The following is a 25728-nucleotide window of genomic DNA, read 5'->3' as shown; positions in this document are numbered from 1 at the left end:
ACCTTCTGCATCGATCTCACTGGGAGCTGCAGACCAGAGCTCTTCCTATTTGGCCATCTTGCCAGCAAATCCTAGATTTCTTAAGATGCACAAATATTTCCGTTGTGTTACAGTTGCCTAAAGTATTCAGGATCATAACATGTTCTACAGGTTTGTAGCCTAGGAGCAATAGGCTATACCAAGGAGCCTAGGGGTATAGTAGGCTACGCCACCTAGGTGTCGTAGGGCATCCACCATTGCTGAGTCTTGAGTAGGTGGTTTAACCGTCACAGTTTTTTTTTTTTTAAAAAACCTTATTTTTGTAGAGATGAGGTCTTGCTATGCTGCCCAGGCTGGTCTCAAACTTCTGGGCTCAAGTGATCCTCCCACCTTAGCCTCCCAAAGTGCTGGGATTGCAGGCATGAGCCACCGCGCCCAGCCGCTTTGCACTTTCTTTATCATGTCTTTAGATAAACAAAAGTTCCTAATTTTAAGGTGGTTATGTTTATCAACCTATTCCTTTACAGTTTGTACTTTTTGTGCCTTATTTAAGCAACCCTTCCCTAAACCCCAAGGTCATGAAGATATTCTGTTTATGTTCAAAGCTTTTTAGTTTTGTCTTTCACCTTGAGGTATGGTATGAAGTGGAGGTCAAGATTAGTTTCTTTTAATGGATATCCACTGTCCCAGACAGAACCAGTTATCAAAAGTTGGCCTTTCCTTACTGATCTGCAGTGGCATCTCTGACTTACAGTAAATATGTCTATTCTGTTTCAGTGGTCCAGTTGTCTCACCTGGTACCAATGCTCATTATCTCAATTAGTATTATTTCTTTTTTTTTTAAATTTTTTTTTCTCTTTTTTTTTTTTTTTTTTTGAGACGGTGTTTCACTCTTGTTGCCCAGGCTGGAGTGCAATGGCAGGATCTTAGCTCACCGCAACCTCTGCCTCCCGGGTTCAAGAGATTCTCCTGCCTCAGCCTCCCGAGTAGCTGGGATTACAGGCACACGCCATGACACCCGGCTAATTTTGTGTTTTTAGTAGAGACGGGGTTTCTCCATATTGGTCAGGCTGCTCGCGAACTCCTGACCTCAGGTGATCCACCTGCCTTGGCCTTCCAAAGTGCTGGGATTACAGGCGTGAGCCACAGTGCCTGGCCCTCGATTAGTATTATTTCATAATGTATTTATATCTTGTAGATCAAGCCTTTCCTCTTTGTTCTTCAAGAGTGTCTTAGCTATTTTTGAATATTTGAACGTCTACACCTAAATTTTGGAATCTTTTTTATCACGTTGATGAAGTTTTGGTTGGTATTGCATTTAGCATGTAAATGACTGGGAAGAATTGACATCTTCACAATATTGAATCATCCAGTGCATGATAGGGTGTATTTTTTTCATTTGTTTACATCTTTTTTGGTATCTCTCAGAGTTTCATAATTTTCTCTCTGAACATATGGCCCATCCTCTGTTAAGTTTTCCCCTCTAAGTTCTTCATATATACATACGTATATATATTTTTTGAGACAGAGTCTTGCTCTGTTGCCCAGGCTGGAGTGCAATGGCACAATCTTGGCTCACTGCAACCTCCACCTCCCAGATTCAAGCAATTTTCCTGCCTCAGCCTCCAGAGTAGCTGGGGTTACAGGCACACACCACCATACCAGTCTAATTGTATTTTTAGTAGAGACAGGGTTTCACCATGTTGGCCAGGCTGGTCTCAAACTCTGACCTCAAGTGATCTGCCCGCCTTGGCCTCCCAAAGTGCTGGGATTACAGGCATGAGCCACTGCACCCAGTCAAGTTCTCCATATTTTAAAAATATTATTGCAAATAATTTTTTTTTAAATCTCATGGTGTGCTTATTCTCAGCATATAGAAGTACTGATGATTTTGTTGCATTAGTTTTGTTTCTAGCAACCTTAATAAATTCTTTTGTTTGTTATAATAATTATTTTTAGACTCTTTTGGATTTTCTACATGCATATTCATAGCACCAATAGATAATGACAGATTATTTCTTCTTTTTTAATTTTTATAATGTTTGTTTCAACTTATTGTTCTGGCTATAACCTCTAGTACAATGTTTAACAGAGATAGTAATAGAAGGCCAGGCACAGTGGCTCACGCCTGTAATCCCAGCATTTTGGGAGGCCGAGGTGGGTGGATCACTCGAGGCCAGGAGTTTGAAACCAGCCTGGCCAATATGGTGAAACCCCATCTCTACTAAAAATACAAAAATTAGCTGGGTGTGGTGGTGCATGCCTGTAATCCCAGCTACTCAGGAGGCTGAGGCAGGAGAATCGTTTGAACCCAGGAGGCGGAGGCTGCAGTGAGCCGAGATCGTGCCACTGCACTCCAGCCTGGGCAACAGAGCAAGACTCTGTCTCCAGGAAAAAAAAAAAAAAAAAGTGATAGAGAATATAAGAGAATATTCTTGCCATTTTCCTGGTTTAAAAAGGAATGCTTTCCAGGCCGGGTCCGGTGGCTCATACCTGTAATCCCAGCACTTTGGGAGGCTGAGGTGGGAGGATTGCTTGAGCCCAGGAGTTCATCTGGGCTCTGCAAAAAATACAAAAATTAGCCAGGCGTGGTGACGTGTGCCTGTAGTCCTAGCAACTCGGGAGGCTGAGGTGGGAGGATCACTTGAGCCCAGGAGGCTGAGGCTGCAGTGAGCTGAGATCGCACCACTGCACTCCAGCCTGGGTGACAGAGCAAGACCCTGTCTCAAAAACAAACAAACAAAGAAAAAAACAAAAACAAAAAACCCCGATAATGCCTAAGGGGCAAGTAGGGGTGAGGAAAAAGTTGTTTCAAGTACAGGGTGAAGAAGGTACAAAAGAATATAATAGGAAAGGAGAGAGAATATAACATACTTGAGAAAGCAGTAATACTTAAGTATGGCCAAATAGGAGTAGGTGATAGGAAGGAAGAAGTGATATGAGGAGGTAAGCAGGAGTCAGAAGAGCCTTTCATAATACACAAAGGAATCAAAATTTTGAATTGAGGTGCTTCCCACCACCTTCTTCAGCCCTACTAATTCCTATTAGAATACTCAGGTGTCACCTACTACAGGAAGCCTTCCCTGACTTCATGTCCACAAGCCAGGGTTAGATGCTCCCTCTGTTCTACTGGAGCCCTCTCTTTCCCTTAGTTCTTTTTATTTTTTTTAATTTTTAATTAATTAATTCATTAATTAATTTTTTTGCAGGCAGCCCCCAAACCAGAATAAGTTCAGAGAGTTTTCCTCCCTTACTTCTTTAAATGATAATTGTCTATTTATGCATCTGTCTTCCACACCAAAAGCCATAAGAGGGCAGAGAATGTGTTTTAAAGTTCTGTATTACCAGCTTAGCAGAGTATTTGGCACATCGTAAGTACTCAATGATTTTTTTTTTTTTAATCAATGAATAGATAAACAGGACTTCGAGGGAAGGAGAAAAAAACTGTAACTTAGTAAAGCTCCTGGCACAAAACTGGCACTGAGAAAATTTCTTTTATCTTTTTGTGCCTTCACTTTCTCATCTGGAAAATGGGGACAAAAACTATCTCAAAGGAGTATCATGGGTCTATAAATTACTTAATCCAGGGTCTGACACTTAGTGTCAAGGACAACTGTCAGCATGTTAAAAATGTAATTCTTGGCCAGGCGCAGTGGCTCACTCCTGTAAATCCCGGCACTTTGGGAGGCCAAAGTGGATGGATCACTTGAAGTCAGGAGTTCAAGACCAGTCTAGCCAACGTGATGAAACCCCGTCTCTACTAAAAATACAAAAATTAGCTGGGAGTGGTGGCAGGTGCCTGTAATCCCAGCTACTTGGGAGGCTGAGGCAAAAGAATCATTTGAATCTGGGAGGCGGGGATTGCAGTGAGCCAAGATCACACCACTGCACTCCAGCCTGGGCAACGGAGCGAGACTCTGTCTCAAAACAAACAAACAAACAAACAAAACCAACCATAATTCTCATTGAAATAGACAGTGAGCATGGGTCAGAGTTTCATTTAACTCATTAATGAAGGGACAAGCAGGACGACAAAGCCAGTTCAAAATAGAATATAAGAACTAGAGTTTTGGCTGGGCATGGTGGGATTACATCTGTAATCCCAGCACTTTGGGAGGCCAAGGTGGGTGGATCGCTTAGCCAGGAGTTTGAGACCAGCCTGCGCAACATGGCAAAACCCCGTCTATACGAAAAGATACAAAAATTAGCTGGCCATGGTGGCACATGCCTATAGTCCCAGCTACTTGAGGGACTGAGGCAAGATCACTTGAGCCTGGGATGTGGGAGGTCAAGACTGTAGTGAGCCGTGTTCGAACCACTGCACTCCAGCCTGGGCAACAATGTGAGACCTGTCTCAAAAAAAAGAAAAAAGAACTTGAGTTTTTATAGTCAATGGAAAAGGAAAATATTGAAGTAAGATTGCTAAATTAAATACTAAATGGGTTAATGTCCTACAGAGTAATAATATCATAACCTTTGGGATTATCTTCTCTACCAGGCAGGAAAGGAAATTGTCACATCTTATTACTTTACAGAATTGTACAATGTCTGGGCCGTAATTAATATGAAAATAGTGTCACGTTTCTCTTCAGGGACAGATGACAAGTAGACTTGCTAGTCAATGCTTTATCATGACAGCAAAAAGTCACACAATCATCTTTTTACCTTAGTAACATGTTTCAGATAATTTTTCTTAACACTAGTAAGTTTAATTCAGTAGACACTAACAGTTATAAGGCTCTCAAAAAATGTTTGCTGAAGGGATTTTCAATCTATTAGGCTTCTTCTTTCCCTCCAGTTTCTTTCTTCCTGACCTGGCACAGTTGATTAGCAGCAGAGTTTGGGGGCTATGGGGCAGGTAGGCTAATAGGGGGAATTCTGTAGGACACGGATCCTCTTCTCTCCCTTAGCCTGGTGTGGTAGGGCTAGTTTTGTATCATCAAATAGGCAGAGAAAGTATCTGCTTTGGATATCAGCAAAGGAAGCACCCTTTTCCCATTTACCAACCACCCCTCTCCCCGCCAGCCAGTAAGAACATATTTTCTGTGAAAGAATTGGGTATTTCTTTTTTTTTTTTTTTTTTCTTTTGAGACAGAGTCTCGCTCTGTCACCCTGGCTGGAGTGCAGTGGCATGATCTCGGCTCACTGCAACCTCCACCTCCCAGGTTCAAGCAATTCTCATGCCTCAGCCTCCCAAGTAGCTGGGATTACAGGCGCTCACCAACACAGCTGGCTAATTTTTGTATTTTTAGTAGAGATGGGGTTTGTTGGCCAGGCTGCTCTCAAACTCCTGACCTCAGGTGATCTGCCCACCTCGGCCTCCCAAAGTGCTGGGATTATAGGCGTGAACCACTGCACCCTGCCAGAATTGGGTATTTCAAAAGGGCAATAGACATCATCAAAATAATAATAATAATAATTTTGTTGGATCACATTCCATTTATTCCACCCTCCCACCTCAGCCTCCTGAGTAGCTGGGATTATGGACACATGCCACAACACCCTGCTAATTTTTTTTTTTTTGTAGTGACAGGGTTTTGCCATGTTGCCCAAGCTGGTCTCAAATTCCTGGGCTCAAGCAATCCACCCGCCTCAGCCTCCCAAAGTGCTGGAATTACAGGCTTGAGGCACTGTGCCCAGCCTCACTTTTTAATTTTTTTTTTTTTTTAATTTTAAATTTATTTTTTTATTGATAATTCTTGGGTGTTTCTCACAGAGGGGGATTTGGCAGGGTCATGGGACAATAGTGGAGGGAAGGTCAGCAGATAAACAAGTGAACAAAGGTCTCTGGTTTTCCTAGGCAGAGGACCCTGCGGCCTTCCGCAGTGTTTGTGTCCCTGATTACTTGAGATTAGGGATTGGTGATGACTCTTAACGAGCATGCTGCCTTCAAGCATCTGTTTAACAAAGCACATCTTGCACCGCCCTTAATCCATTTAACCCTGAGTGGACACAGCACATGTTTCAGGGAGCACAGGGTTGGGGGTAAGGTCACAGATCAACAGGATCCCAAGGCAGAGGAATTTTTCTTAGTGCAGAACAAAATGAAAAGTCTCCCATGTCTACTTCTTTCTACACAGACACGGCAACCATCCGATTTCTCAATCTTTTCCCCACCTTTCCCGCCTTTCTATCCCACAAAGCTGCCATTGTCATCCTGGCCCGTTCTCAATGAGCTGTTGGGCACACCTCCCAGACGGGGTGGTGGCCGGGCAGAGGGGCTCCTCACTTCCCAGTAGGGGCGGCCGGGCAGAGGCGCCCCTCACCTCCCGGACGGGGCGGCTGGCCGGGCAGGGGGGCTGACCCCCCCCACCTCACTCCCGGACGGGGCGGCTGGCCGGGCGGGGGGCTGACCCCCCCACCTCCCTCCCTGACGGGGCGGCTGGCCGGGCGGGGGGCTGACCCCCCCACCTCCCTCCCGGACGGGGCGGCTGGCCGGGCGGGGGGCTGACACCCCCACCAGACGGGGCGGCTGGCCGGGCGGGGGGCCGACCCCCCCACCTCCCTCCCGGACGGGGCGGCTGGCCGGGCAGAGGGGCTCCTCACTTCCCAGTAGGGGCGGCCGGGCAGAGGCGCCCCTCACCTCCCGGACGGGGCGGCTGGCTGGGCAGGGGGGCTGACCCCCCCCACCTCCCTCCCGGACGGGGCGGCTGGCCGGGCGGGGGGCTGACCCCCCCACCTCCCTCCCGGACGGGGCGGCTGGCCGGGCGGGGAGCTGACACCCCCACCTCCCTCCCGGACGGGGCGGCTGGCCGGGCGGGGGGCCGACCCCCCCACCTCCCTCCCGGATGGGGCGGCTGGCCGGGCAGAGGGGCTCCTCACTTCCCAGTAGGGGCGGCCGGGCAGAGGCGCCCCTCACCTCCCAGACGGGGCGGCTGGCCGGGCGGAGGGCTGACCCCCCCACCTCCCTCCCGGACGGGGCGGCTGGCCATGTGGGGGGCTGACCCCCCCACCTCCCTCCCGGACGGGGCGGCTGGCCGGGTGGGGGGGCTGACCCCCCCATCTCCCTCCCGGACGGGGTGGCTGGCCGGGCTGAGGGGCTCCTCACTTCCCAGTAGGGGCAGCTGCCGGGCGGAGGGGCTCCTCACTTCTCAGACGGGGCGGTTGCCAGGCAGAGGGTCTCCTCACTTCTCAGATGGGGCGGCCGGGCAGAGACGCTCCTCACCTCCCAGACGGGGTCTCGGCCGGGCAGAGGCGCTCTCACATCCCAGATGGGGCGGCGGGGCAGAGGCGCTCCCCACATCTCAGACGATGGGCGGCCGGGCAGAGACTCTCCTCACTTCCTAGATGTGATGGCGGCTGGGAAGAGGCGCTCCTCACTTCCTAGATGGGATGGCGGCCGGGCGGAGACGCTCCTCACTTTCCAGACTGGGCAGCCAGGCAGAGGGGCTCCTCACATCCCAGACGATGGGCGGCCAGGCAGAGACACTCCTCACTTCCCAGATGGGGTGGCGGCCGGGCAGAGGCTGCAATCTCGGCACTTAGGGAGGCCAAGGCAGGCGGCTGGGAGGTGTAGGTTGTAGCGAGCCGAGATCACGCCACTGCACTCCAGCCTGGGCACCATTGAGCACTGAGTGAACGAGACTCCGTCTGCAATCCCGGCACCTCGGGAGGCCGAGGTTGGCGGATCACTCGCGGTTAGGGGCTGGAGACCGGCCCGGCCAACACAGCGAAACCCCGTCTCCACCAAAACCAGTCAGGCGTGGCGGCACGTGCCTGCAATCGCAGGCATTCGGCAGACTGAGGCAGGAGAATCAGGCAGGGAGGTTGCAGTGAGCCGAGATGGCAGCAGTACAGTCCAGCTTCGGCTCCGCATGAGAGGGAGACCGTGGGGAGACGGAGAGGGAGAGGGAGAGGGAGAGGGAGAGGGAGAGGGAGAGGGCTCACTTTTTAATTTTTAAGAAATTGTGACAAAATACTTGTGACACAACTTACCATCTGAACCATTTTAAAGTGCACAATTCTGTGGCAGATTTAGCTACAGGTCTGAGTTCACTTGGAATATGAGCATAATAAAAACGTGGTCTGAGGCCAGGTGTGGTGGCTCATTTCTGTAATCTCTACACTTTGGGAGACCAAGGCGGTAGGATTGCTTGAGCCCAGGAGTTCAAGACCGGCCTCGGCAATACAGCGAGACTTTGTCTCTACAAAAAAATTAAAAATTAGCTGGGCATAGTGTCACGCATCTGTGGTCCCAGCTGCTTGGGAGGCTGAGGTGGAAAGATCACTTGAGCCTGGGAAGTCGAGGCTGAAGTGAGTGGTGATAGTGCCTAGGTGACAGAGCGAGACCCTATCTCAAAAAGAAGAAAAATAAAATAAGAATAAAAGTGTAAGGTCAGGCACGGTGGCTAATGCCTGTAATCCCAACACCTTGGGAGGCTGAGGTGGGCGGATCACCTGAGGTCAGGAGTTCGAGACCAGCCTAGCCAACATGGCGAAACCCTGTCTCTACCACAAATATAAAAATTAGCCGGGCATAGTGGCGCATGCCTGTAATCCCAGCTACTCGGGAGGCTGAGGCAGGAGAATCACTTGAACCCAGGAAGTGGAGGTTGTGGTGAGCCAAGATCGCGCCACTGCACTATGGCCTGGGTGACGAGAGTAAAACTCTCATCTCAAATAATAATAATAATAATAACGAGGTCTGAGACTCTAACCAGGGAGTCGATCGAAATGTTTGGACATACTGCATGCAAAGTTCAAGCATTTCTACAAAGCAACAGATGGATGGGAAATTTCCCAGGGATAAACTTATTTTTTGGCAAGTCAAAAGTATGTATTGTGCAAGCCCTGCTTTGGGAGTTGGGAGAACCAAATGACCTCCAGATGCTACAAAAAGGATTCTTCCCTGCTAAAAGAGGTCGAGTGTACTTGGCCAAAGGGGATCTAAAATGCCTTGGCTTCCAACTTCAGGGAACTGAGCTTTTCCCTCTAACTTTCTAGCAAAAGGGAAGGAAATGTTGACCCTAAAACCACATGAAGCTAAAGCTAGAGGACACTGTAGCAGTTCGCCAGATCTCCATTGTTGAATTCTGTGTTGGCCTTTTATTTATATATTTGTCATTATTTTCATTAATGCGTTAGAGTATAGGCTGTTTGGGTCCATATCTTGACTCTTCTACTTATTCGGTATGAGACATTGATTAAGTTGCTAAATCTTTCTTCAATTCTTAGAATCTGTGCTTCAGGTTTTTGGTTTATAAAATGGTGATAATGACACTTTCTCAGAGGGTTGTGGTAAGGATTAATGGTGTTGATGGATGTAAAGTACAAAGAACATTACTTGCTATGTAAATGTTCGCTATTATCAATACACGTGACTATTTTCTCCTTCTTCTTCTTGTCCCCCTCCCCATCCCCCTCCTCTTCCTTGTTTAGTTGGCAAATAGTCAAATTCCATTTGGAATGCTGTCCCACTGTTTTATTCTGCTTCATGGATGTTTCTGGGGGAAATTTGTGCAGTCGATGTGTGTTGAATTCTGTTTTCTGATTTTTTGCAATAACTGTATGGATCTGTTAATATTTTCCTTGTGCTGAGAGATAGTCTCACTCTTTCATCTTCCAGATATGGAAACTGAGTCCCCAAAAGGGAAAATGACTTGCCCGAGATCACACAGAGATAGTGGATAAACAAGTAACAAGACCAAGGGTTTCCGACAACCAGTCCAAGTCTTGTTCCACTGAACACAGAGTCCGAGGACATTGGCCTCAGATACTGATGTGATCTGAGCTCCCTCCAAACTCTATTCACCCACAGGGAAGACTTGAACACCCTATGATTCCAAGTATTCTCCAATTGACATCTTCCCCTTCTAACAAAATTGCAAGCACTTCAAGGGAAAGGACTATGACTTGATTATTTTGGAATCTTAGTTATATGCTCAGCACTGTGCCTCAAACTTTTGAGGGTAGGAACTATTGCCTATAACACCTTGGATGACTCGGGGCAGATGCTCAGTAAATGGAAACAACTGCCCTGCCTTAAAAAAAAAAGAAGAGTTGGGGAGGCAGGGAAGAGAATTAATATGTATCAAGAATTTAATATATACCAGTCACTGTGCTGAGAATGTTCACTTTCATTATCCCATTTAATTCCCAGAATTCCTTTATGGCCTCATCAATTTCTGTATTTTACAATAGGAAATTGAGTCTCAGAGAGGTAGGCAACTTACCCTGAGTCTCTTCACAAGTAAATGCTCAAGTGTGACACTTCACTGGTGGGTCATAACCTTCTAGAATCCAATATCATAAACACAGAGTGAGAGAAAGAAGAGTCCTGATACTTTCCAGAGGGTAAAACAATTTTTTTATTCTCATTAGAGAACATATAGTCACATGAATTGTGAAAACGTAAGTCATGGTTTTATTTGTTCAGTGACAGTGTGGAGAATGACATCAAGCTAGAAAAAGAATATAAAGGAAAATCATGAGTGTTTCAATCTTGCTCATAAAGAGAGACCTATCGTTACCAAATCCAGGCAACCTGAACCCACCCTTCCTGCAAAAGTTTTATCCACACTAGAATTTTGAATGGGAGACAAAAAGATAAGCTATAGGATTTATAATATGGAGAAGGTGAATTTCGTCACAGGGAAAGGCCCAGGTCTGAAAAATATTTAGTCCCTGCGCTAGGCTGGAAACAGCCACCTAAAGTCCAGGTCCTAATCTCTGGAAACTGTAAATGTTTCTCTATTTGGAAAAATGGTGTTTTTTTTTTTTTTTCCCCCTAGATGTGATTAAGTTAAAAATCTTGGAATGGGAGTTTATCCTGTATTATCTGGGTTGGGGGGGGCGCGGGGGGGGTCCTAAATGCAATTATAAATGTCCTTATAAGAGAAAAGCAGAAGGAGATGTGACACATCCACAGAGAAGGCGATATGAAGGCACGGGCAGATACTGGAGTGATACAACCATAAGCCAAGGAATGCCAGCAGTCAGGAGAATCTAGAGAGGCAAGGAACGGATTATCCCTTAGAGCCTTTGGAGTGGGTGTGGCCCTGTCAATAACTTAATTTTAGCCCAGTGAAATTGATTTCAGGCTCCTGACCTCCCAAACTGCGAGAGAATAAATTTCTGTTGCTTTAAGCCACTTGGTTTGTGGTAATTTGTTGCAGGAATCACAGGAAACGAATACAGTGCTCCTGTGTTGTTATCCAGGTCTCAGCTTACTGTCATCTCCTTTCCCTTCCATTTGGAAGCCCCAAGAAGAGTTTCTTTTTTTTTTTTTTTTTTGAGACAGAGTATCGCTCTGTCTCCCAGGCTGGAGTGCAGTGGCCTGATCTTGATCTTGGCTCACTACAACCTCCACCTCCCGGGTTCAAGCGATTCTCCTGCCTCAGCCTCCTGAGTAGCTGGGACTACAGGCGTCTGCCACCACTCCCGGCCAATTTTTGTATTTTTAGTAGAGACAGGGTTTCACCATATTGGCCAGGTTGGTCTTGAACTCCTGACCTCGTGATCCGCCCGCCTTGGCCTCCCAAAGTGCTGGGATTACAGGCGTGAGCCACTGCACCCGGCCAAGAAGAGTTTCTAAAAACATCCCAGGCTGGGTACAGTGGCTTATGCCTGTAATCCCAGCACTTTGGGAGGCCTGGCTGCACTCTGGCTCAACAAACTGAGCTATCACTTCCATCTGACTTTTTCAGCAAATAAGAGATAGCCAATCCTAGAATCATAGAAAGCTCGACCGAAAAGGATCTTAAAGATCCATTTGTTCAAACTCCTCATTATTTATAGACAAGGATGCTAGCCCCAGAGAAGGAGAGGGTCACATACACAGGTTATAGATGAGTGACAGAGTTGTAATTAACTGGATCCTAGATCTGACTTCAAATCCAGTGTTGGTTCTACCGCATGTCACACTGACCAAAGTCATGGGTGTTGCTGTGGTCTAAGGTGCTGACCAAATTTTAGAAACTTGGGAATAAGGGGAATGGAGAAATGGATCACAAACCTCCTGAAAGCTATAGTGCCCCAGGGTAGTCATTTGTCTTTTTTTTTTTTTTTTTTTTTTTTTTTTTGATATGGAGTTTTGCTGTTTTGCCCAGGCTGGAGTGGAGTGGCGCGATCCTCGCTCACTGCAACCTCCGCCTTCCGGTTTCAAGCGATTCTCCGGCCTCAGCCTTCCGAGTAGCCGGGATTTACAGGCACCCGCCACCACCCCTGGCTAATTTTTGTATTTTTAGTAAAGACGGGGTTTCACCATGTTGGCCAGGTTGGTCTCTATCTCTTAACCTCAGGTGATCCACGCACCTCAACCTCCCAAAGTGTTGGGATTACAGGCGTGAGCCACCGCGCCCAACCAGGGTATTCATTCTTACCCAAGACATTCTACAGGGCTGACAGGGGTAAAGCTTCCGGTTTGAGATGGAGACTGAAGGGACCATGATTGTGTAACCACATCCCAAATTGGGAGGAGAGAAGTGTCATGAATTCCTAGAACTGACGGGATTTCAGGAAACCTCAAGAGTGACAGCATCGGAAAATGCAAGAGGTTTTAAAAAAAAAAGAGTGGAAGTTTTGGACAAATAAATGTGAGTTGTGTCTTATACAATCAACAAGTAACTGGTTTGGGAAACTCAATATCCCTAAATAAGGGAGCAGACCACCCCTCATATTGTCTTATGCCCAATTTCTGCCTCAAAGAAAATGTAGGAGTTAAAAGAAAGACAGAAGTGAAATCAGTAGTCAGACAGCCCGGCGATGCATTCCAGGCCTGGTAATTAAAGATCGACCCCTCCTGACCTAACCGGTTATATTATCTATAGATTCCAGACATTGTATGGAAAAGCATTGTGAAAATCCCTGTCCTGTTCTGTTCCGTTCTGATTACCGGTGCACCGGTAATCAGTCACGTACCCCCTGCTTGCTCAATCAATCACGACCCTCTCACGCGGACCCCCTTAGAGTTGTAAGCTCTTAAAAGGGACAGGAATTGCTCACTCGGGGAGCTCCGTTTTTGAGAAGTGAGTCAGCTGACGCTCCCGGCCGAATAAAGCTCCTTCCTTCTTTAACCCGGTGTCTGAGGAGTTTTGTCTGCGGCTTGTCCTGCTAGGTAATAATGGTAAAGGCTGAACATTTCTCATGCTTACCCTGCCTTCATACTTAATAAGGTTGTTGAAAAAAATGAATGAGAGAATGCATTTTAAATGCTCCGTACAGTACTAGTACACAATAAGTGCTCAATACATGCTAGCTGTTATTATTAAAACATTAATTAATAACAGTAGTAACAACAGCCACTGACTTTAAGACACGTTGATCAGTGTTGCCGAAACCGTACATCCGAAGTTGCTCTTCGGCCGCGTTTCGCTGCCCATTGCATTCAGGGGCTTGTAGTCCGGAAGTGAGAGGCTGATTTCTCAGCGCGCAGGCGCAGTGGCGCGGATTCCCGGAAGAACCCGCAGCAGCTCCCAGGATGAACTGGTTGCAGTGGCTGCTGCTGCTGCGGGGGCGCTGAGAGGACACGAGCTCTATGCCTTTCCGGCTGCTCATCCCGCTCGGCCTCCTGTGCGCGCTGCTGCCTCAGCACCATGGTGCGCCAGGTCCCGACGGCTCCGCGCCAGATCCCGCCCACTACAGGTGAACTGTGACCCGCCCTTTCGCAGTTGGGGAATGGGAAGCGTGAACCCGGTCCTTTCCCTTTCCGTCCATCCCAGACCCCGACTTGCTCCGACACAGCCGCTAGGTCCCAGGGAGAAATCAGCTAGTGATTCCCACTTTCCGCCCTGTATCTTGTTCTTCCCCCGCTTGTTTTTGTGTTCTTGCCCCATGCCTGATTTCTCGTCCCCCACCCAGGGAGCGAGTCAAGGCCATGTTCTACCACGCCTACGACAGCTACCTGGAGAATGCCTTTCCCTTCGATGAGCTGCGACCTCTCACCTGTGACGGGCACGACACCTGGGGCAGGTAGTGCGAGCGGAGGGGCAAGGGGCGGCCAGGGTCTGACTCTCTGGGCCTCGGCGGGCGGGTCAGCTGGGGCTGGTGGCTTCATGGTCTCCTCACCGGCACCAGAAAGCTCCCAGCTGAGCTAGAGCCGCGCTCCCCGCAATTCTTACTATCACCTCCAGGATCCACTTAGCCTCTCGCAGTGAAAAAAAAAGTCCTGGATTAGCCGGGTGGGCTGGATCGCTGAGCTCAGCCCCAGCAGTAACAGGCATCAGCTGTGGGGACATAGGCAATTTCTGGAGTAACGAGATACCGTGGAAGGGCTCCAAGAATTAGAAAACCCACCCCTTTCATTATGTAGGTGGGCATTCAGATCCAGGAAGGAGTGTGACACTCCTAAAACTTAAGTCTTTGTAGTTGGTGTGCCCCGTGCCTGAAATACACTCCCCATTTTCCTCCCATCACTGGCTGCTGCTTGTCATTCAGATCTCAGCTCAGTATCTTAATACCCCTACGAGTTAGGTGCCATTATCCCTGTTTTACACACGAATGTGCTAAGGTCGGGAGAAATTAAACTCAAAACTTGTGATGGTTTTTATTTTTTTAAGTTGAAACAAAGTAAATACAAATGGCAAATTCAAGTGGTAAAAGATTATATACAATAAATATCTCCCATACCCTAGAATTCCAACTATTAACTTTCCTTTGTATCTGTCCAGAAATATTCTTGGTTTATACCATTATATATATAGATGTGTGTATGTGTATCTTTTTAAAATGAACTTCTTAAAGGCATAATTTACATATAATAAAATACACTCTTTTTTTTTTTTTTTTTTTTTTGAGATGGAGTTTCGCTCTTGTTACCCAGGCTGGAGTGCAATGGCGTGATCTTGGCTCACTTCAAACTCCGCCTCCTGGCTTCAAGCGATTCTCCTGCCTCAGCCTCCCAAGTAGTTGGGATTACAGGAGCCCACCACCACACCCGGCTAATTTTTTTGTGGAGACGGGGTTTTGTCATTTGGCCAGGCTGGTCTTGAACTCCTGACCTCAGGTGATCCACCCACCTAGGCCTCCCAAAGTGCTGGCGGATTACAGGCATGAGCCACTGTGCCCAGCCTACACTCGTTTGAAGTGACCACCATCACAGTCAAGATATGAAACACTTCTGTCACTTTAAAAAGTTCCCTTGTGGCCCTTTATAGTTCATCCCTGCACCACCACTGACCCTAACAATTGCTGTCTGCTTTCTGTCAGCATGTCTTTTTGAAACAGATGGAAACATACTAAACCACCCTGACTTTTTCATTAAAAACAATTCGAATGTCTTTCCATCAGCACATAGAAGTCTTGATAACAATCTTTTTGATAACTCATAGTTTTGCACTGTTTATAACACAGTTTAATCACCCATTAATGGGTGGACAGTTGGGTTCTTTCCAGCCTCTTGCTGTTCTAAGCAATACTGCCATGAACACTCTCAAACAGCTGTTCACTGTGAATTAAATTCCTAGAGGTGAAAATTGGTGAAAGGCCTGTGCTTTAAGCTGCAATCTTATACTGCCTCCCAATGGTAGAGGAGAATGCCAGACTATAGGTGATGTATTTAATTACAATTGAGCTACATCAGCCAACCCTCCCAGGTGCATTAAGTGGGTCAGAGAATACCTGCGATTTTCACTGTGGTTTCTCTGTTGTGACTGTAAGTGGGACAGGCAGAGGCATTACTTTGCCTCATTTAGTTTTAGGGGGATCAGATCTAGGGCAGCCATAATATCTGGTATTTGATTTTCTTACTAAGCGGCTGGGATTTCTGTCCTTTTGCAGTTTTTCTCTGACTCTAATTGATGCACTGGACACCTTGCTGGTAAGTATCTCGTCTGTTTCTTTTCCTTTCCACTGTTACATAACCAACATCCTTCCTCTTTTGGCAGCGTGACTGTGGGTGAAAAATGAATTCCTCTCCTAGGCCTTTTATTTGCATCTCATGATTCTGAAGCGTCCGGCTGTGGTTGCCTAGCTAGATAGGGGAAAAACGAACTACAACTTATGCAGATTCATTTATTTAGCAAACATTTATAGAGGACCTGTTATGTACGGAGAATTGTGATAGGCTTGCATAGCTCTATGGGGGATACAGAGACTTTGACATCTCCTGTTTTCAGAGGCTTACATTCTAGTGGCCATGTTCAATGATAATAAAAGGGTATCAGGCTGAGCATGGTGGCTCACACCTGTAATCCCAGCACTTTGGAAGGCCGAGGCAGGCAGATCACCTGAGGTCAGGGGTTTGAGACCAGCCTGGCCAATATGGTGAAACTCCATCTCTATTAAAATACAAAAAATTAGCCCAGCATAGTGGCACATGTCTGTTATCCCAGCTACTGGAGAGGCTGAGGCAGGAGAATTGCCTGAACCCGGGAGGCGGAGGTTGCAGTGAGCCGAGATTGCACCATTGCACTCCAGCCTGGGTGACAAGAGTGAAACTTCATCTCAAAAAAAATTATAAAGAAATAATATCAGTGACTAGTTAGTATGTTTCTGTAGGGCTTAGTACAGACATGTATTAATTCTTCTAACAACTTCTTGAGGTTAGTACCTTTACTCCTTCTTATCGTTAAGAAACCTGATGCTTAGGGATGGGCACAGTGGCTCACGCCTGTAATCCCAGCACTTTGGGAGGCCAAGGCGGCAGGACTGCTTGAGCACAGGAGTTCAAGACCAGCCTGGGCAATATGGTGAAACCCCGTCTCTACCAAAAATATAAAAAATTAGGCATGATGGCACATGTCTGTGGCTCCATTTGTTAGGGAGGAGGGTGAGGTAGGAGGATTGTTTGAGTCAGGGAGGCAGAGGTTGCAGTGAGCCGAGATCGCACCACTGCACTCTGGTCTGGGTAACAGAGTAAAACCCTGTCTCACACAAACAAAAAAAAGATATAAAAGAAACCTGATGCTTAGAAAGGTAAAAAGGGCCAGGTGTGGTGGCTCATGCCTGTAATCCCAGCACTTTGGGAGGCCAACATTGCTCAAGTCCCAGAGTTCGAGGCTGTGATGAGCTATGATCACACCACTGCACTCCAACCTGTGTAACAGAGCAAGACCCTGTCTCAAAAAAAAGACTTGGACTGGTTCAGGTCAAGTACCCACTCCACAGCTAGAGGGATGGGATCAGCCTCTCCCAAACCACAGGAGTGACTGCCGGGGAAGAGTGATTCCTCGAGGGTAAATTGAGATGTTACTATCAAAAGAAGAGAGATTGAGATTGCATTTGGCTAACGGTTTAAATAAAGAGGGTTTATTTTCTCAAGTAAAAGAAAGTCTAGAGGTAATTTCTAGCATTGGGTCAGCTACGCAACTGTGTCATTAGAGACCAGCCTCTTTGTAGCTTTGCATTCTAGTATCGTTAGTGTTTTGGCTTTTATTCTAATGCTTAGTACGTCATGGTCTCACATAGCTGCCATCACTTCAGAAATCGAGTCTGAGTTCAAGGCAGAAAGAGAGAGACTAAAAGCCATGTTAGCTGTGTTTGTCCCTTGGTATTAAGAAAACAGAAGCCTTCCCAGAAGTGCCCCCAGTAGACCTCTCAAGGGTCAGAATTGACTGGGTAACACAATCAACTGCAGCAGCAAAGGAGGCCGAGAAAGCTTCTGGATTTCCAACCTCTGGTGGGAGGCCATGAGGTAAAGAGGGTAGGAATGAATTTGTTTTGGGCCAACCAACCTGTTCTGTTTTCCACAAGGTTGAAGGTGACAACTGGTATCTACTGCAAATGTCAAACTAAGACTTTTGGCCAGGTGCGGTCGCTCACACCTGTAATCCCAGCACTTTGGGAGGCCAAGGCGGGTGGATCATGAGGTCAGGAGTTTGAGACCAGCCTGATCAACATGGTGAAACCCCGTCTCTACTAAAAATACAAAAATTAGCCGGGCATGGTGGTGCATAATCCCAGCTACTCGGGGCTGAGGCAGGAGAATCGCTTGAACCCAGGAGGCGGAGTTTGAAGTGAGCCAAGATCACGCCACTGCACTCTACCCTGGGCAGCAGAGCGAGACTCTGTCTCAAAAAAACGAAACAAAAAACCTAAGACTTCTATGCGTAGTTTGCGTTCTTTATATTGTGTCCATTTAAATGACAACATCGTGACTCTTAATTGGGACCTAGGAATTTACTTAACCAGTCTCTTGGTATGAAGTCTCTAGATGATTTCTAGCTCTCAGTGTTTTCTTCTGCTGTCACCAATCCTAGGACAGAAACTGGAGGTCTTAAGTGGAATTAGTGAGGGCCACATCAACATAGGATCCCAGACTCTGAATCTGCCTCCATGCATGTAAGAGCCTCATTGTCAGGTCTCTTTTTTATTTCCAGATTTTGGGGAATGTCTCAGAATTCCAAAGAGTGGTTGAAGTGCTCCAGGACAGCGTGGACTTTGATATTGATGTGAACGCCTCTGTGTTTGAAACAAACATTCGAGGTAAGGGCTGCTCTCTAGGACCTTTAAAAGAAAAAAGAGTGTGAAGTTGCCTCTGTAAACCAAGAAGTGGTAAATAGGATTTTAAGGACTGACCATGCCAGGACCCTTGGCCAAAACCTCTGACCGACAGAGCTCTTCTTCCCTCCTGGAGGGTGAGGTGGGGAAGTCTCAGGATTTCCCCATCAGTTTCAGATATGAAAGTGAGCAGGAGACTAAGAGACTGGAAAGAAATACACCAGATTACTCACCTCTTTAATATGTATTTGATACTAGGCATACAGCTATGAACAAGAAAGATATGATCCTTGCCTTCTTGGAACTTATTGTCTGTCCAATCCAATTTTCTGCAGTGATGGAAATGTCTTATAGCTGTGTTTTGTCCAGTATGGTAGCCACGAACCACATGAGCTATTGAGCATTTGAAATGTATCTACTACAACTATGGAATTGAATTTTTAATTTCATTTAATTTTAATGATATTAAATTTAAGTAGTCACATGTAGTTAGTGATTATTGTATTGGACAGTGCAAATCTACAGCATTAATCTTCCAAACTTGGCAGCCCATAGGAACCACTCCCAAGTGGTTAAAAAATTCAGATGTTGAGACTCCACCCTAAACCTAATGAATTGGAATCTCTGTGTTGGGTCCTAGAATCAGTATTTTTAGCAGACTTCCAGTGATTCTTGTGAAGCCAGCACAGCCCTTATTTGCATCGAACCTCTAGACCACTTAACAGCTGTCACCTCTGGATGGCAGAGTTCTATTTTTCCCCATTATTTTGTATGTTTTCTGCAATGAAACTTATATTCCAGACATATGATCCATAAAAGATTAAAAAAGAGAAGAGAGCAGAGGGACAACATGGTCTAAAATCCTGGTTTAGGAATCCGGCCTGAGTTTGAGGCTGTACTTGCTGCTATGTCTCCCAGCTTCTGAGCCCAGTTTGTCATCTGTAAATGAAGGTCATTCTTATACCTTTATTTCTGATAGGAATATAAGTGATACCAGCTTTCTTTTGGTTGACATTTTCCCATGTATCTTTTTCTATCCTTTCCATCTTTCTGTAGTTTTATGATTAGATACATCTTTTGCAAATAGTGTATTATATTTTGTTTATCCATTCTGACAATCTTTAACTGGCACATTTAATCCATTTACATTTACTGTAATTACTGATATATTTGCACTCATTTCTACAGTATTGTGCTCTCTGTGCCGTCTTCTTTTTTTTTTTTTTTTTTTTTTTTTTGAGGCGGAGTCTCACTCTGTCGCCCAGGCGGGAGTGTAGTGGTGCAATCTTGGCTTACTGCAACCTCTGCCTCCCGGGTTCAGGCGATTCTCCTGTCTCAGCCTCCTATGTAGCTGGGATTGCAGGTGCCTGCCACCGTGCCCTGCTAATTTTTGTATTTTTAGTAGAGATGGGGTTTCACCATGTTGGCCAGGCTAGTCTCGAACTCCTGACCTCAGGTGATCCGCCCCCCATCAGCCTCCCAAAGTGCTGGGATTATAGGTGTGAGCCACTGCACCTGGCCCTGTGCCATCTTCTTTATGTTCCTTTATTCTGTCCTTTTTCATGCCTTCTTTAGATTGTTTTCCCCCCATTCCATTTTCCTCTTACTAATATGGAAATTATGCACAATATCTAGCTTTTTACATAGTTTTCCAAGCAAATTTAACAAACATAACTTATCAAAGTCTAAATTTAATGAAAATCTTTGTTCTCCTCCTGAATAATGCAAAACCTGACTTAGAGAACATCCTGACCTATATGCTACAGTTATATATTTTAGTTATTTGTTTTAAACCTTCCATACATTATAATTTTTGTTCTATATTGTTGAAGTTTTGCATTTACACATAAATTTACCACTTTTTTTGTTGTTGTTGGTTTGAAATAGAGTCTCACTCTGCCACCCAGGCTGGAGTGCAGTGGCGCGATCTTGGCTCACCTCCACCTCCTGGGTTTAAACGATTCTCCTGCCTCAGCCTCCAGAGTAGCTGGGATTACAGTTGTGCACCACCACACCAGGCTAATTTTTGTATTTTTAGTAGAGATGGTGTTTCACCACATTGGCCAGGCTGGTCTCAAACTCATGATCTTGAGTGATCCACCTGCTTTGGCTTCCCAAAGTGCTGGAATTACAGGTTTAGCCACTGTGCCTGGCCTATTTACCACTTTTTTGACTATTTTTTCTTTTCGTGTCTCAGACCTTTTCTCTAAAGTATTTCCTTTAGAATTTCCTTTAATGCAGGTGTGTGCTTCATAAACATTCCCAGCTTTTGTTTATATGAAAATGTCTTTATTCAACTGCCTTTGGTTGGCCTTTGAGTGATATTTTTGCTGGGTGTATGGTTCTAGGTTGATGGTTACTTTCTCTTATTGTGTTAAAAACTTTTTCCATTATCTTCTGGTTTCATTATTGTTAAGAAGTAATCTGTCAATGTAATTATTATTTATTTGTAGAGAATCTTGTTTTGGTTTTCACTTTGGCTGTCTTCTCCTTTTAAAAACTTTTTGTTATGGAAAACTTCAAACATAAAAGTAGAGAAAATAGCATAATGAACCAGACGTGCCCATCACCCAGCATTAATAATTATTATTACATGGATTCTGGCTGCATTCGAGATCATTTTTCCCTTTGGTGTTCTGCAGTTTTACCATAAGGTACATACATGTAGATTTCTTTTCTTTCTTTCTTTTCTTTTTTTTTTTTTTTCTGAGATGGAGTCTCGCTCTGTCGCCCAGGCTGGAGTGCAGTGTCATGATCTCAGCTCACTGCAACCTCCGCCTCCTGGGTTCAAGCAATTCTCCTGCCTCAGCCTCCCGAGTAGCTGGGACTACAGGCGCACAACGCCATGCCCGGCTAATTTTTTGTATTTTTAATAGAGACAGGGTTTCACCGTGTTTACCAGGCTGGTCACGAACTCCTGAGCTCAGGCAGTCCACCTGCCTCAGCCTCCCAAAGTGCTGGGATTACAGGCATGAGCCACCGTGCCCAGACTTTTTTTTTTTTTTTTTGAGACGGAGTCTCACTCTGTCACCCAGGCTGAAGTGCAGTGGTGCAATCTTGGCTCACTGCAACCTCCACCTCCTGGGTTTAAGCCATTCTTCTGCCTCAGCTTCCCAAGTAGCTGGGACTGCAGGCGCTTGCCACCACGCCCAGCTAATATTTTGTATTTTTAGTAGAGACAGGGTTTCACCATTTTAGCCGGGATGGTCTCCATCTCCTGACCTCGTGATCTCCACCTCGGCTCCCAAAGTGCTGGGATTACAGATGTGAGCCACCATGCCTGGCCTGCATAGGGACCTTTTATCAGACTTCCACTTGGGGCAGGTCTGACCTTGGTCTCCTATTCCCCCTCTGCAGGGAGGAGGGGAATTTTGAAACTTAGGGTCACCAGTTATTTTCATTGAGAGGGCCACTCAGGATATCTATTTAGCTGTATTTCCAAGAACCTTTGTGTCTTTTTAAAAGTTCTAAGTAGGCCGGGTGCGGTGGCTCATGCCTGTAAATCCAGCACTTTGGGAGGCTGAGGCAGGTGGATCATGAGGTCAGGAGATCGAGACCATCCTGGCTAGCACAGTGAAACACCGTGTCTACAAAAAAAAAATCCAAAAAAATTAGCCGGGCATGGTGGTGAGCTCCTGTAGTCCCAGCTACTCGGGAGGCTGAGGCAGGAGAACGGCGTGAACCTGGGAGGCGGAGCTTGCAGTGAGCCGAAATCGCGCCACTGCACTCCAGCCTAGGTGACAGAGCGAGACTCCGTCTCAAAAAAAAAAAAAAAAAGTTCTACATATTGCATAATAAGTTGAAATAGATAAATTAGTAAAATAAAGGTAATAACCATCATTACCCCTTCCCCCCAGGTATGACAGGTGACTGGGAGACAGACAGAGTGACAAATGGAATGAGCATGGGCTTTGGAATCAAAGATACTCAGCCCTACCACCTACTAGATGGGTGACCTGGGGCAAGTCACTTTATCTCATGGAACCTCAGTATCTTCATACGAAGAGGGGACAGTAGTACTTAGTGCTTGGTACACAATAGGGACTTACAAAAAATAGCCACTGTTCCTGTGATGAACCAAGAGAAGAAAACCCCATAAACTTAACACCATAGAAATATGTGGGATTAAGGGACTCTTTTTTCGCTGGGTGGCTCTAGCTCCTTCCCAGTGAGCCACCCCAACAGAGTGAGGTTTTTGTTTGTTTGTTTTTACCCGTGAAATAGCTTCAGGAGGTCCTGAGAACATGCGCCCCACAATAGAGTGTTTATGTTTAACTCGCACAGGGGAAAGATCCTTGATCCCTTGGTCTTTCCCTTTGGACTGTGCCATTTGCTTTCTGTGCCATCTGTAGTGGTAGGAGGACTCCTGTCTGCTCATCTGCTCTCCAAGAAGGCTGGGGTGGAAGTAGAGGCTGGATGGCCCTGTTCCGGGCCTCTCCTGAGAATGGCTGAGGAGGCGGCCCGAAAACTCCTCCCAGGTAAGACCCACACAGAGATGGGGCAGAGACGAAGTCCAGTAGGTCCTGCTTCCCTTGCTGAAGATGAGAGTGGCAGTGCTGAATTAATTCCTGGTATTTCTCACCAGGTGTATTTGGTCTTTCTACCCACCAGGCACCCACCATGGAAATCAGGAGTGTCCTGGGCATTTTAAGGGCCTGCTGGGGCCCTGACCCGGATGGATGAGTTGACCTCATTATTGTTTGCAGGGGATGGTTGAAGGTGGCCAGCCTGGTGGGTGGAAGGCCATTACCCTTATTTTGAATGAGCCCATTTGTCCCCTTCCAGGTACTACAGTTATTCCACACACTGCTGGAGTAACAGGGGCCCAGGGAAGGGTGTTGGTGTGAGCATTAGCAGCCCTGGATTCTAGACTCAGCTCTGCCAGCCAACATCGTGACCAAGCCACTCTTTCTCTTCATAGTTTGTTGTTTGTTTGTTTGTGATGGAGTCTTGTTCTGTCGCCCAGGCTGGAGTGCAGTGGCACAATCTCAAGTCACTGTAACCACCGCCTCCTGGGTTCAAGCAATTCTTTTGCTTCAGCCTCTTGAGTAGCTGGGATTACAGGCGCCTGCCACCATGCCCAGCTAATTTTTGTATTTTTTAGTAGAGATGAAGTTTCGCCACGTTGATCAGGCTGGTCTCAAACTCTTGACCTCAAGTGATCTGGCTGCCTCGGCCTCCCAAAGTGCTGGGATTACAGGCATGAGCCACTGTGTCTGGCCTCTCTCCACAGTTTGGTTTCCCCATCTATCAAATGAGAATCATAATTTCTACTTCCCTACCACATCGGGTTTTGGAGAGGCTAAAATGAGGTCAGGAAGGAGAAACTGCTTAGAGAACGTCCAACACTTTTAAAACGAGAGGGATTTGTTTTGTGGCTAAGCTGTGTCCAGGGCTGCAGGTCAAGCCTCCATGTTTTTGTCTAGTGGGGCAGTAACACCAGGCTCAGTAGCATCAACTGTACACTGTGTTCCCTTCAGGGTGTGGTGGAGGCTCTGAGGACTGTTCACACCCAGACACGTCACACTGTGCTTTCCATCACCTCTTGGCCATCTCACTTATTTATCCCTTTTCTTTCTTAATTTTTTTTTTTTTTTTTTTTTCAGACAGGGTCTTGCTCTGTCGCCCAGGCTGGAGTGCAGTGGCGTGATCATGGCTCACTGCAGCCTCTCGAACTTCTGGGCTCAGTTGATTCTCCCACCTCAGCCTCCTGAGTAGCTGGGATTACAGGCAGATGCCACCATGCATGGCTAAATTTTTTTTTGTAGAGATGGGGTTTCACCATGTTGCCCAGGCTGGTCTTGAACTCCCGGGATCAAGTGATCCATCTGCCTTGGACTCCCAAAGTGTTGGGATTACAGGCGTGAGCCACCACACCCGGCCTCTTTATCCTTCTCACATAGCACTTGCCTCTCCTTTGGGGGAGAGCTGAGGATAGCGGGTGAGCTAGGTTCAGGTCTCACTCATGGCTCATGGCTCATGGCTTGAGCGTCTCCTTGCAGACATTGTGTCCTGTGTGATTCATCCCTGGAGGAAACTCTGGAAACTCTGCCTAGCTGCTCCTCCTTTATAATTTAATTATTTTTGGTCATTGGTCATTTTATAAAAAAAGGTCAAGAAACAGGATTTTGTCACTCCTCTTCTTTTTATTACAGCCTGACTTTTTCTGAAATATTGCTTAGAGCCCTTCCTGGTTGTGACTTGCTCTCCCGCTGGTGCCTGCCAGATTGCAAGTTTCTTGTCTGTGGCAGACACAGTTGCTAGACCCTGTGGTTCTTGGAAGTGTCGACACCTTTGTTCACAGTTTGGTGACGCATAGGCTGCTCTGGAGTTGTTTGACCTTTAGGCCCAGAGAGGAAATCTCTGCCTCTGGCTGGTTGTCCAGTTCTCGTCTTGAACCAGAAGGCACTTGGGTGCCACTTGGGTGGGGCGGGCAGAGAACTGGACTGGGGCTGGGGTGGGCACAGGGGAGGCGTTCCCATCCCAGCTCTGTTTGACTCTCTCTGTGTGACCTGTGGCTGAATTACTTCTTTACAGGCATGGTTTTCCCTACCTATAAATCGAGGGTCATACTATATCCGTGGTTTAGTGGTTTATATCCTATTTTGCTTCCCTTTAAAAATAATTTAGCCCCTATACTCTTTATTTAAAGCAGAGATCTTTATTTAAAGTCTATGAATGGCTTTGTTTATTATTATTATTATTTTGAGACAGGGTCTCGCTCTGTCACCCAGGCTGGAGTGCAGTGGTGCAATCTCAGCTCACTGCAGCCCACGCCTCTTGGGTTCAAACGATTCTCGTGCCTCAGTCTCCCAGATAGCCAGAATTACAGGCGTGCACCACCACGCTTGCCTAATTTTTGTATTTTTAGTAGAAATAGGGTTTCACCATGTTGGCCAGGCTGGTCTCGAACTCCTGGCCTCAAGTGATCTGCCTGCCTTGGCCACCCAGAGTGCTGGGATTATAGGCGTGAGCCAAAAGTCTATGAATGGCTTTGAACGGGGCTTACTCTTGTCATTGTGCCACAAGCCCCACCACTTTCTGTGGCTTAAACCCTGCCTGCATCACAATAAGTTACCTGCCTGGGCTTTGAAGGCGTAGTGTAAAATAAATAAAAATAGGTAAAGCTCTCTAGCTAAAGCGAGTGTGTGTGGAGCACAGCCTGCTCCCTGCCCCCTCATGATGAGCAGGAACCCAAGGTTATGCAGAGCAGTGTTTGACAGCATCTGGGCTGGGTGGCTGCTCAGGGCCCTCCAGTTATGACATTTATCTTTCTCTGGCTCAGACTCTAGCAGGATACCCAGGAGAAAGAGGGAAGTGCTGGCTAAGGTCCCAGGCTTTGGGCGTGTATCAGAACTATCCCTATCCCCCTGC

General features: G+C 46.6%; 2 protein-coding genes across 4 annotated transcripts in view, besides 2 other annotated features; both read left to right on the top strand.

Annotated features, from left to right (window-relative positions):
* Positions 1-25728, top strand: part of MMP24-AS1-EDEM2 (MMP24-AS1-EDEM2 readthrough) — a 162759-nt gene that overhangs the window by 117411 nt on the left and 19620 nt on the right. Inside the window, exons 6-9 of the mRNA NM_001355008.2 lie at positions 13777-13887; positions 15694-15733; positions 18234-18339; positions 22707-22832. Of these exons, the coding sequence (NP_001341937.1) occupies positions 13793-13887; positions 15694-15733; positions 18234-18339; positions 22707-22832 (367 nt within the window). The 5' untranslated portion in view covers positions 13777-13792. The remainder of the gene's footprint in view (positions 1-13776; positions 13888-15693; positions 15734-18233; positions 18340-22706; positions 22833-25728) is intronic.
* Positions 13213-13342: an enhancer, noted in NCBI's record as "active region_17774". NCBI's record gives its function as "activates an Ori minimal core promoter by ATAC-STARR-seq in GM12878 lymphoblastoid cells {active_cell/tissue: GM12878}" and the evidence as "EXISTENCE:reporter gene assay evidence [ECO:0000049][PMID:35858748]".
* Positions 13376-25728, top strand: part of EDEM2 (ER degradation enhancing alpha-mannosidase like protein 2) — a 31973-nt gene continuing 19620 nt past the window's right edge. The window contains exons 1-5 of one of the 3 annotated variants that reach the window (NM_018217.3): positions 13376-13560; positions 13777-13887; positions 15694-15733; positions 18234-18339; positions 22707-22832. In NM_018217.3, the coding sequence (NP_060687.2) occupies positions 13454-13560; positions 13777-13887; positions 15694-15733; positions 18234-18339; positions 22707-22832 (490 nt within the window). In that variant the 5' untranslated portion in view covers positions 13376-13453. Of the gene's footprint in view, positions 13888-15693; positions 15734-18233; positions 18340-22706; positions 22833-25728 lie in introns of all 3 variants that reach the window. The other 2 variants (NR_026728.2, NM_001145025.2) reach the window with 2 other exon arrangements.
* Positions 13591-14194: an enhancer, noted in NCBI's record as "H3K27ac hESC enhancer chr20:33734321-33734924 (GRCh37/hg19 assembly coordinates)". NCBI's record gives its function as "activates a minimal SCP1, AML or CMV promoter by ChIP-STARR-seq in primed H9 embryonic stem cells {active_cell/tissue: H9 hESC(primed)}" and the evidence as "EXISTENCE:reporter gene assay evidence [ECO:0000049][PMID:30033119]".

This window comes from Homo sapiens, chromosome 20 (assembly GCF_000001405.40).
Source record: "Homo sapiens chromosome 20, GRCh38.p14 Primary Assembly".
NCBI classification, from domain to species: Eukaryota; Metazoa; Chordata; class Mammalia; order Primates; family Hominidae; genus Homo; species Homo sapiens.
This window is presented reverse-complemented; position numbering and strand designations above follow the sequence as displayed.